Below are 12,876 nucleotides of genomic sequence, written 5' to 3'. Positions count from 1 at the left end.
AAATTCAAGCGCATGGCACTGGCTTTGTTGCAAGGGTTTTCATGCTGCATGACATGGTGGAAGGTCAAATGGGGAACCGAAATGTGCAAAAACGAACCAGATAGGAGTTGGAACCTCAATTTATAACAACTCACTGTCTCAAGAACTAATCTATCCCCATGAGAACAAGAACTCACTCCAGTAAGAAGGCATTAAATCTATTTATGAGGGTCCACTCCAGTGACTTCCCACTGTTGCACTGGCAATTAAATTTCAACATGAGATTTGGTGGGGACAAACCATATCCAAACCATAGCAAAGTTGTCTCTTTTCTCATGCTATGACTGCCATGCCTCCATAGCTTTCTTGCAATCCTCTTCCCCCTCCATTCTCGGCAGATGTGTCAGGCACATTTACATGTTCACATCTCCTTTCCTACAACCCTTTTTCTTTTTCAGAAAAGTGAAACTTTTTTCTAATTCATATTTCAACAGTCCTCCTTCCAGTGCTGTTTCTCTATAGAGTGACTGTCATTTGCCCCTCCTTTCCTGTGCTCTAGAGCTTATGATACATGGCTTTAGTATAAACATCCCTCATACATCACTGGCTGGTGCTCCACATATCTTTATTCCTCCTTGCCAAAAGCAGCAGGCGATGACAAGGATCAAAGAAGCATCCTCCTTCTTGCCAAAAAAAAAAAAATCTTCCTTTGGGTGGAAGTGGCTGTGGTGAGTGTTGTTGACCCAATAACGGACCAAATAAAATGCCAGTAACTTCTTAGCAGTGTTATCAGATGTTCTTTTTTATTGTATATATATAATTCTCCAACTGTGTAGTTCTTTCAAGTGTAATTTTTTTTCTTTTTCTTTTTTTTTTTTTTTGAGATGGAGTCTTGCTCTGTCGCCCAGGCTGGAGTACAATGGCATAATCTCGGCTCACTGCAACCTCCACCTTCGGGGTTCAAGCAATTCTCCTGCCTTAGCCTCCCGAGTAGCTGGGATTACAGCCACACACCGCCATGCCTGGCTAATTTTTGTATGTTTAGTAGAGATGGGGTTTCACCATGTTGCCCAGGCTGCTCTCGAACTCCTGACCTCGTGATCTACCCCCCTTGGCCTCCCAAAGTGCTGGGATTACAGGCGTGAGCCACTGCGCCTGGCCTCAAGTATAATTTTATCTGTGTATCCACGTTTATAGGGAGAGAACAAAAGTATAGAGGGAGTAGTGACTTTGCCAGCAAGCATCTTCTTCCCCATTGGGAGTAATTCCATTTTTGTTTTTTGGTTTTGTTTTGTTTTTACTAGTTCCTGTATGCCCACATTGCCAACTTCTGTCATTACTGCCTACTACAAAGACAGTATTTACTTCCATCTCTTTTCATTCCCAAATTTAGGGTCTGAATTGTTGCTTGTATAGATTATTACTTCCACTGTCTACCTATATGGGTGACCTAGAACTCTTTCTTAATAGAAAATAAATGTACAATATCTGAATCTCTGAATATAACCTTTCTTGTCTTTTAGTTCTCATGCTGGCACTATACTTTTCTTTGACCTCATAAAAACATTCAAAATTTTTTATTCACCCTCCCACCTCCTACCTCAGGCTATTAGTCTTTCCTGTCCACCTTCCCAAACTAACCATGATCCCATTTTGATCACTTGAATTCTTTCCTCTATATCATGATTTCTTCACGTAGGTATTATGAGAGTCATCTGGCTAGATGTGGAGATGTATATTTCTGGGCTTAAACTACTCCCCTTTTAAAAATCTTTATAACATTTCAACAATATACATAGGAAAGAATAAATAATGAGCCCTGAATTCCCTTCTCCACTCATTGCCAAGATTCAATTACTACAGACTAATTTTATTTATCCTCAACATCTCCTTTCATTCCTGTATTATTTTGAGGCAAAAACTAGGTATTATATCATTTTATCAGTAAGTATTTTAGAATGTATTTTTAGGAGATAAGAGCTCTTTAAAAATATATTTCCCTAATATAATTGTTATATTAGCTGTAATTCCTTAAAGTCATCAAATATCATGTCACTGTTTTTAAAACAGCTTTATTGAGATGTAATTTATACCATACAACTCACTCATTTAAATTATACAATTAACAGGGTTTTTGTTTATTCATAGAGTTGTGCATTTATCACCACAGTTTAAGAGCCACGTACCTTTTAGTGATCACCCCAAATCCCCTGTTCCCTCCCCAGCCCTATGCAACCACTAATCTGCTAATCCACTTTCTGACTGTTTAGTAATTTTTGAATCATACAACGTATAGTTTTGTGTGACTGGCTTCTTTAACATGTTTTCAGAGTTGATCTGTGTTACAGCATATATCAGCCCTTTATTCCTTTTTATTACCAAATAATATTCTGTTGTGTAGATATACCACACTTTGTTTATCCATTCATCAGTTGATGGACATTTGGGTTGTTTATATTTCTTAAGCTATTAAAAATAATACTGCTGCAAACATTCACATACACTTTTTTTGTGGTTATCTGGTTTCATTTGTCTTGGTTGTATACCTTGGAGTGTAACTTAAGTAATAAATATATATTATACTATACTGTATATATATAGATGTATATATACATATATAATATAAATTATATATATTATATATAATATGCTGTGTACTATAATATATTTTGAAAAATTGCTCAAGTTCATTATTAAAAAGAGATTTAGGAATGACAGTTCCTGCAATATATGTGACTTAGGAAGACAGCTTACCTATTGTGCTTTTGATGTCTTGGATAGTTTGAATGCCTATCAGTTTTGTGGAAGTATTTTCTTCATTTAAGAACACTTCGTATGTCCTTACAAGCAGTACATATTAGTTATCCTTTGGTTTTTAGTGTTCTTTGACAGTAAATTTGATTCCTGATTTCTTTTTAAGGAAAAATAGCACAAATACAAATAGAGTCTAAAAGCATTACTATAAAAAAAAAAAAGCCGGAAGATAACTTACGAATGCCATGTTGCATTTCTGCCACTTTCCTCTCCTAAAGTTGGTTCCTGCTGCCTATCATGCTATTAATTTTTTAATCTCAGTTCTTCATAGAATGTACAGAATTCCTTATTGACACTCTTGGTGTTATTGTGACATATAGCTATTCAATATTGTCAGTTTTTTTAAACAGTCATGTTGGGTCTTGGAATGTTACAGATTAGCTGAGAGTAACATGGTGGGAAAAAGGCATGACATCACCAAGCCAGCAAATGCCTGGAGGTGGATTATTTAGTTTGCATAAAATGTTTTAAATGTTTAATTATGTATTGTAGACTAAACATTACTAATTATAGGTGATAGTTTACTTATACCTCTAACATTGGTACAGTGTTTTTGTTTTTTTAAAAACATTCATCTTCCTTATAGAGATTTCTGTTTGTTTTTAAGGATATTTTGGAACTCTTAGAAAAAAGAGTGAAGTCAAGATTTTCTCACCGGCAGATACACTTAATGAATTCATTTGGTTTTCCACAGTATGTTAAAATATTTAAAGAACAGTTATCTCTACCTGCAGAGTTTCCAGACAAGGTTTTTGCTGAGAAGTGGAATGAAAATGTTCAGGTATCTTAAAAGGCAATAAAGCTAAATGTTCCTTGCTATATGATTTAAAGCAATTAAAACACAAATTTTAGAAATTAGTAAATTAACACAAAGTTTCTAATATTGCTGAAGGATAATGCTGCAGTAATACAAATTATATACTTTTTAAAAATTTTCTTCTTAGACAGTTGAAATGTCATTTCTCCTAAATTCTATCTCAAAAGAACATCACAGTTAAGCTTTAGGATTTATGTTATTAGTTTGAAGTAAACTTTAATGAGGCTTTAGTTTTATCTGTATGTGGTTTATATTTTAGATAATTTTATTTTATATATTTTACATATTTAGCAATAATAATAAATAGTAAATAATGATAAATAAATGTTAATGACTCATACCTATTATGTGTGGATATTTTTTTTCTTCCAGTTTTCATTAGCAACTTCAGCTTTTATTTTGTTGGGCCTTAAGAGGCAGTACAGACTGTGGCACCTCCAGTTATATTATCTAATAGGTGATCACATCTCACAGTCCCTGGAGACTTGAGAGTCTTAGATACAAAGGCAGGTTCATATGTTGTTTTAAAGATTTGCCACACCTTTGAGACTATAAATTTACCTGTGCTTAAAATATTCTCAACACACTAGCATTTTAATCTTACGCTGTCAAAAAGTTTCAGTTGGCAAAGAGAAAGGAGGAAGTATGCATATGTGTGTGTATTTAATAATATAATTGAAAAACATCATTAATGAATAAGTCCCTTATGCTAGAATCTCAAAAAATATTGGCCTCGTGAGAGTGGAAAATAATATAGAGTCCCTGGCTCTGAAGGAATTGGGAAAAACTGATTTATAATGTTAAAATACCGGTAAGGATAATTAGATCTTTGAATAGAATTACACAGTCTATATTCACTGACTCTATAAAAAGGATCATTTTATTTTAAAGCAATAGTGGTAGATTGTATTTTTACCGTGAATTTTTAAATACTAATACTAAATTGGAAGCGTTTTGCATTTAGTTTGTTCTTTAAATGATTATTGTTTGATTATAAAATATAGTCTGCTCATGTAAGCAGTATTTTGACACATTTCATTTTTTTAAAATATCATAAAAGTTTATTGAACAAAATGTAATTAGTGCAAAAGAATACATGATAAACAGTGGAAGTTTCCCTTAAGACTATATCAATTCTCCTTTCTTCTACTATGGAATAATTACTTGGTCTACAACATTGCAGAGTTTATATACATGCTAAATATGTTGTTTTTACATAAAGGACTCAAAGCCTACATATTTTTATATTACTTTTTTCCCATTGTTATGATTAATAATTCCCTGTTCTTTTTCTTAATACAACTATACATAATTGTATGTAAAAATAGCTGACATTATCTTTAAAATTCAGATATTATGCCTTGATATAATTAGGTATGGATCCTCCCTTCCACTCAATCTTTCCTGAGACTCGGGTATTTCAATTACCTGACCAAGTGTCTTTGATACTATTTCTAATTATAGGATTCCATCTATAGGAGCACCTTCTTTGTAGTTGGTACTCCCACATTGTCCCCTTTTACTGGGGTCTGGTGTGAACCAGACCTCTGGATCTTCAGCTTTTAGATCTACTTTTCAGTGCCTCACAGACTTTCATCTTCTACAACTCCTGAACTGATTGTCTTATTCCACCAGTATGTTTTTCTGGCTGTTTTAGAGATTCAAATGTAGTCTTTCATAGTATTTAAATGTCTGTACTTTCCATGGGCTTTTTTTTTTCCATACCTGCTCACACTTAATCTTCTTAAGGTAACTACATGGTCTAGGTTGCACTGTGCCATTTTTCATCCACTTTCCTTCCCAACTGTGTTGCATTCTGAGCATCTCAAATTGAGTCTATAAATAAAGAGGATGCTGGGAGTTACTGGTGAAGAAGTATAACTGCGTGACTTAGAAAATGATAACCATGTGTTAGTAGCATAACTAATCTACTTTCTGGACTTTTGTTGCAGACCTTAAATCCCCTGCATGTGAGCACTGTCTTGTCATCATTTTGATAGTCTTAATAGTCAGTTTCATTAAGTAGAACCAGCATCACTGGTGTTTGTGTCTCTGAGTTCTAATATTTTCTTCCCCTATCCTGATCATCTTGTGCCTGTCTTTGGTATGTGAATAAAATGAGCTTCACTTGAAAAATCTGTCAGCACCATGGTCAGAGTCCCTGCCTTGTGGAGTAGGGTGGTAGCTGCATTAAGGGAGCTATTCTTTCTCTTAGTGCCGATTATCCAGGAAGCTATTTTGAATGGCAGGATTAAGCCAATAGCAGTGATACAGATAACAGGTCACACATGGAATCTCATCCAAGAAATATCTTCAGGATAAGATTGAACCTTGATATCCTGCCTAATTTGAAGGTTTGTTTTAGCCCTACTTCAAATGAGTCAAATAAGCAAAGTAGACTCTATCTTAGCATGGCAGTATAAGAGGGATCCTTTGAAAAGAACATTTAAAAGAATCATACCTTATTCTCCTCAAATGAAATCTCCCAAAGTACTGTAGCTTATGTGGTTGTTGATAATAGCCTTATCCTCAAATAGAGTATAGTGTTTGAATCAAGATGGAATTAAAAATATAATGAACGAGGTTAGACAATTTTTTTTGTTTAAATGGCTCATGTAGATAAGGTAGGCATTTTAAAAAGCAGAATAAGTAATTATAGAAGCAAGAAGGCGATAGCTTTTAGAAAGAGGGGGAATTGGAGTCAAACCACTAAAAAATAAAGAGATAAAGTAGGAAGGTGGAGTATAGAAGATTAACCTTTGAAGCATCATGTCAAAGAGAGGCAAATGCAGGTTTTAAAAATAATTGATTCTTGCAGAGAAAATTTCTTCAATTTTGTCCCAGGTGATTTTCTTTAGTTTTCCTAAGTGCTCCGATTTTACCACATCAACTTTTACAACTTACAGATTACAGAAACCAAGACTATAGTTTGCCTGTGATATTTAGCCACATATCTTCCATATTGCAATTTTAAAACTGGAAAAGCTAAACAAATTTTTTTTTAATTTCCAAAAGGTATTACTTTGTTTTTTTTATGTTCACCCTGTGTACTTCCAAGGATATTCTACCGTGTTTGTGATAGAAAAAGATATAGTAACCAGAAGTCCTTTAAAATACAAAGAGAAGACTAGAAACAATAGCAAGGGAGTGGGAACTATAATTAAGATAATATATTTCCTGAGAGTATAAAATTTTATTCCAGTAGACTAGAACTTACTTCTGAATCTGGTCTTCTTAGAGTGGACAAAGTAAAGACATATAATTACAGCTCTAGAAAATACAGAAATGCTTAGTTTTCTGGGCTTTTTTTTTTTTTTAAAAGAATCCTTATTCCATGCAGATGATTTTTGAAAAATTATGACAATCTTTTCCAGGCCTTTCTTGGCTCTGCTACTTCTGAATTTACTCTTTTTTCATCTAATCTTTTCTTCAATGCCAGTGTTCCTCACCTTCCATTCAACCCTAATTACTGCAGTCACTTGCCTCTTTAGATGGTACTTTCTCAAAGGGCTGTGGTGATCTTTGAATTTCTAAAGCCATTAGCCTCTTCTCAAATATATCTTTTTACAAAGTAGTTTATATTGTTGAACCTCACTTCTCTCTTAAAACTTTGTTCCCTTGTTTTCTAGATCTCTACTCTGTCTTAGATTCTCTTCCAGTCTTTGGTATCTTTCTTAATTTCTTAGTTTTTCTCTTTTCCCACCTACTACTTAAATATTAATAATCCAAGATTCATTTTTTGACCACATTTCACTTTTCACAGGCCATTTTGTTTCCCATAGATCATGTTTGATTTTTATCTTCTACCTTTCAAACCCTTCCTTCTCTTCTGCTACCAGTTAATTCTCTACCAGATGTACTCCTATAAACGTCTTAATTCTTTTTTCTTCATAACACTCAGATAATTCCGACCCACTTTACCTCTTGTCTGGACAGCTACCTCCAGTTAGGTTTTTCTGCCTTTTCTTTTTGTACATTCACTTTGCCAGTAATTGAAACTCCAGTACGTGACTACTCATTTTCTGCCAATGTGATAATTTTCCTGCTACTCATGCTGTTCCCTGTAACTGGAATGTTCTTCCTTCTTTTTTAAATCTCTTGTCTCATCCAGTTTAAGCATTCTTTGTAATACTTTACCTTGTATCCCTAGGTACAGTAACTCATGCACTTCTGTTTTTGTGCTGCATTTTGTTCATTTCACTAGTATGACTGTGTAGTAGTTTCCCTTATTCAAGTACGAATTTGGGGTTAGCCAGGATTGTTTTATCATTGTGTTTATTGAATTAACGTAAAGAACAGGATAAGAAAATCAGTAGACTGGAAACTTTATTTTGGTTTTAGTGTTCTACAAATAAGACCAACATCTATTTAATAATGAATTAATATTAGATAGAGTTACTAAGGTACACCAACCAGTAAGGCACAGGATTATATTTAGGTTTTAAACTACATCTTTCCTCAATTTTGGCTTTTTTTTTTTTTTTCCTTTTAGTATCTCTCAGAAGATAGAAGTGTGCAAGAAGTACTACAGAAGCATTTCAATATCAGCAAAAACCTGCGGTCATTACACATGCTATTGGTTTGTATTAGTTTTGTTTTATTGCTTGTTGCTTTGTTTTTGTTTTTAATAGTGACGGGGTCTCACTTTGTTGCTCAGACTGGTTGCGAACTCCTGGCCTTAAGCCATCCTCCCACCTCTGCCTCCCTAAGTGCTGACATTACAAGCATCAACCACTGTGCCCAGCCTACTTTTATCATTTTCTATCTTTCATTAGATAATTAAGTTTTTATGGGAATTGATTAAACCTGTAGGTAAATTTTGGGAGAATCGACATGCATTGGAACACTACATCGAGTGTTCCAATCTCTGAATAGGGTTCATATCTCCTTTTATTTGATTTCTTGTTTGATTACTTTCATCAGCATTTTATAGCTCTTACTACACAGATGATGTACTTATTTAATGTGTATACCAATATTTAATTTGTTAGAACAATTGTAAATGGGTTTTGAAATTTTGGTTTCCCACATATTCATTACATTTCCCACATATTCATTACATATAGAATATGTGATTGATTATATATATACACATTAATATATAGAAATGTGATTGACTTATAGTCTATGCTGAACTCACTTATTCTAAGAGGTTTTTTAATAGATTCCTTGGGACTTTTGATGTAGACCATTACATTTTTCACAAATAGTGACGGTTTTTTTTTTCTTTCCAATCTGTATGCCTTTTATTTCTTTTCTTGCTTTTTTGCAATGGCTAGAATTTCCAGTGTTATGTTGAATTAGAGCAGTGAGAGTGGACATCCTTTCTTGTTCCCAGTCTTAGGAAGAAAGGATTCAAACTTTTACCATTAAGTATAATGTTAGCTGTAGGTTTTTTATACATGTTCATTATCAGGTTGAGGTAATCCTCATCTGTTTGTAACTTGCTGAGAGTTTCTTATAAATGGGTGTTGGATTTTGTCAAATGCTTATTCTCGATCGTTTCGCATGACCATGTTTCTCTTTAACCTGTTGATATATTTGATTATGTTATTTTTTGAGTGTTGAACCAGCCTTATATACCTGGAATAAATCCTACCTGGTTATGATGTTTTGCCAAGTAATTATATCTTAAGCTTACATAATACCAATATCAAACAAGAAGTACTTAATTGTTCTGAAAATTAACTTTCTTCACTAAGAGTATTTGGTTTTAGTCTAATATTTCTAGAAAATTATGGCAAATACCTTTGAAAGACAAGATAGTTTTGGTTTCATAGAAAGGTCATTTTTAATAATAATAGAATAATAATGACAGTAGCTACCATTTATGGACTGGCATATGAGCCAAGTACTGTTGATGCTAGTAGTACCTATATTATGTCTGGCCATTGGAATAATCTTATTTTTTATTCTTACCCCTAAAGAAATTGAGGCTCCTTAAAGCTAAGTAACTTGCCGAAGGTCACACTACTAGTAGATAACAAAGCCAGGACTTAATCCAAAGCTCTCTGGCTTCAAGTTTGTGTCCTACTTGGCTGTATGGTTCACCCATGTTTATATACAAGTTTTCTTTCCTCATTGCTGCTTCTGCTGAGGAATTTAAGTCTTTTTATCCCTATTTACTTTTCTTCTATTGTCAAAAGCATACTGCCATTTTCAGCATATCATGAAGGAATTTGGGGACTAGTAATTTTTAGAGGAGGGGTGTGTGTGTGTATGTGTGTATGTATATATATATACACACACATCTCCATCTGGGAAAATATCTCTGCCTCAGTATTGTCAATATTAACGGCCATTGTTCTGCCATTTTTCTATTACATTTTTAATTCATGGTAATGAATTAAATAATGGCTTGTTTTTTGTCATATGGGATTCTACTTTGAGGGCTGCTTACTCATATTCTTAGCTCATCCCATTATTTGTTGTCATTGTCTTACTGTGGAAGCTCATTATAGATTACAGATTTTCAGCCTCTCCAGTAACCAGAGAAATACTACAATTAAACTTTTTTTTTCTTGCCAATCTAGTGGGTGTTAAAGATTATGCTTGATGGTATCATGACTGTGACTATTAATATTTATTGCTGCTGCCAATGTAAATATGTGTAAGTGCTTTGGAGAGCAATTTATTTAGCAAATTAGGTAACTAGAGAAACATACTAATTAGAGAAAGTCTAGTTACCTAATGCACAGGAAGACATGTCCAAGGTTGTTTATTGCAGTCTTGTTTATAATTGGGAAAAAAAAAGAAATGAAAGATGTCTGTCAATAGGAAATTAGGAAATGAATAATCGTGGATATATACAAAGAAATATAATGAAAAAATGAATAAACCAGAATTGATACTGCCTCAACATGGGTAAAACCTCACAGTGAAGAGAGTTGTGAAGATACAATATATTTATATAAAAGTTGAAAATTACTCTGTTGTATAATACATGTATATGTAGTAGAAGTATTAGGTTGGTGCAAAAGTTACCATTACTTTCAGTGCCCAAAATGGCAATTACTTTTGCACCAACCTAATAGTATAGACATACTTGGTTGTTTTATGTGGGGAAGAGTAGAGTCCAATCCGGAGGAGATGGGCTTCAACTCTAAAATCATATTTCTTAAGCAGGTAAAGTAGTCATAGATATTTATTATTCTCTGTTGCCTTTGTATATGTTAAAAAAAATTTATGCCTTTGTGTCCTCATAGCTTAGCTCCCACATATCATATCAGTGAGAACATACGATGTTTGGTTTTCCATTCCTGAGTTACTTCACTTAGAATAATAGTCTCCAGTCTCATCCAGGTCACTGCAAATGCTGTTAGTTCATTCCTTTTTATGACTGTGTAGTATCCATAGTATATATATACCACATATATATATATATCCATATATCCATAGTATATATATACCACAGTTTCTTTATCCATATCCATAGTATATATATACCACAGTTTCTTTATCCACTCGTTGATTGATGGGCATTTGGGTTGGTTCTACGATTTTGCAATTGTGAGTTTTGCTGCTATAAACATGCACATGCAAGCATCTTTTTCAAATAATGACTTCTTTCTTTTTCAAATAATAACTTCTTTTCCTCTGGGTAGATGCCCTGTAGTGGGATGGCTGTATCAAATGGTAGTTCTACTTTTAGTTCTTTAAGGAATCTCCACATTGTTTTCCAGTGGGGCGAGGGATAAAAGACTACAAATATGATGCAGTGTATACTGCTCAAGTGATGCATTCACCAAAGTCTCACAAATCACCACTAAAGAACTTACTCATGTAACCAAATACCACCCATACCACAATAACTTATGGAAAAATGAAGTTAAAAAATAAAAATTAAAAAATTAATAACTAAAGGAAAAAGGAAAGGAGAGAGAAAGGGAGGGAGCACTGGCAATCTAGGTCCCAACCAGTAGGAGAATGAAGGACAAGGATTGCCAAACTCTCTGCCCAGCTAATCAGTTGCGCCCTTGTTAAGGTGAAGGAGAGTTTCTTGGATAATTATATCCCAAATATTGCATGGCACATACTACTAAGAAACTATTTATTGTTTATTTGAAATTGAAATTTAACCAGAGGTCATGCATTTTTATCTGCTAAATCTTGTAACCCTAAATGACCAAATTTAACTTTCATGAAAAATACAAATAAAGAAGGAAGGAAGGAAATCTTCAAATACTTGAGTAGCAACTCTGGTCCAGGACCTCTGTTCATTTTTGAACAGAGAAGCAGCACAAGAGAAGGAGACTGTGCTTTCAAGGAGAGTTATTCCTGAGTATAAATGTGCTATTTTCTTTTCTTTTTTGTACAATTGAACATAAAACAGCTAACTTCTGTCTAAATTAATACTAACCTGGCTGGATGATTGGGTGGTGAAAAAGTTAACAAGTAAGGCGTAGATCTGCCTTTTGGGCTTGTGTTTGGGGCTTTTATTAGTAAGTATTCTTAATTATTTTCAGTTTCTTCTCCTTGACCTACTCCTCTTTAAACATTGTTCTTCCAAGCAGTAAGTAAACAAGTTATGCAACTGGGATGGGTTAGAGAGAGCAGCAGGAACTTTTTTTATGCTTTACATCTGCAGTTATGTGACACACAAATTGAAATACTGTATTTTAATACAACTGAATTTGAGAATACCTTCCTAAGCATTAATATTTACTCTCCCTTAAGAATTAACTATACAAATTCAGAAGTTTTGCACAGTATCTCCAAAATGCCCATGTAAATACGTAATTGTTTTTCTGATCTGTCTTTCCCTAGATGCTTGCTTTAAATCGAGTAACAGCATCGCACCCATTTATGACTGCCGTAGATCTAATGGAAGCAAGCCAACTGTGTAGCATGGACTCGAAAGCAAATATTGTACATGGTGAGAACCCAGCCTTATTTTTTAAATTGTGGTTTTTAAAACTTTGAATTTAGATAATGGAATGTTTTTAAAATTACAATTAACGTGGGCATAATGCTTTATAAAATACTTTCGTATCCATATAGCCTTTAACTTAGTCCTTTTAAAGGTACTATCACTCCCATTTAAAGTGAAAAAAAAATTTGACGCTCTGCCTCTTTTGCCACATTGGAAATCCAGGTAAGACTGTGTTGCTGATGTTATCATTGTATCAAGAACTACTGAAGAGCATTCTCTGGGTTTCAGTCATTTTGGGTTTGTTATTTCCTTTTCCAAATGTAATGAACCTTTTCCTCTCCGGGGAAAAAAGGAATACACAGATTTGGATATAATTTCCAGGAGTTTAGGAAGT

At 33.9% G+C, this 12,876-nt stretch overlaps 1 protein-coding gene across 10 annotated transcripts in view; it reads left to right on the top strand.

Annotated features, from left to right (window-relative positions):
• ORC4 (origin recognition complex subunit 4) overlaps positions 1-12,876 on the top strand; it is a 91,156-nt gene that overhangs the window by 69,927 nt on the left and 8,353 nt on the right. For all 10 annotated transcript variants that reach the window (NM_181742.4, NM_001190881.3, NM_001190882.3 and 7 more), the window contains 3 exons: positions 3,401-3,574; positions 8,103-8,189; positions 12,377-12,485. In NM_181742.4, coding sequence (NP_859526.1) covers positions 3,401-3,574; positions 8,103-8,189; positions 12,377-12,485 — 370 coding nt within the window. The remainder of the gene's footprint in view (positions 1-3,400; positions 3,575-8,102; positions 8,190-12,376; positions 12,486-12,876) is intronic.

This window comes from Homo sapiens, chromosome 2 (assembly GCF_000001405.40).
Source record: "Homo sapiens chromosome 2, GRCh38.p14 Primary Assembly".
NCBI lineage: Eukaryota > Metazoa > Chordata > Mammalia > Primates > Hominidae > Homo > Homo sapiens.
Note: the sequence above shows the minus strand (reverse complement) of the source record. Positions and strands in the feature narration are given on the sequence as shown.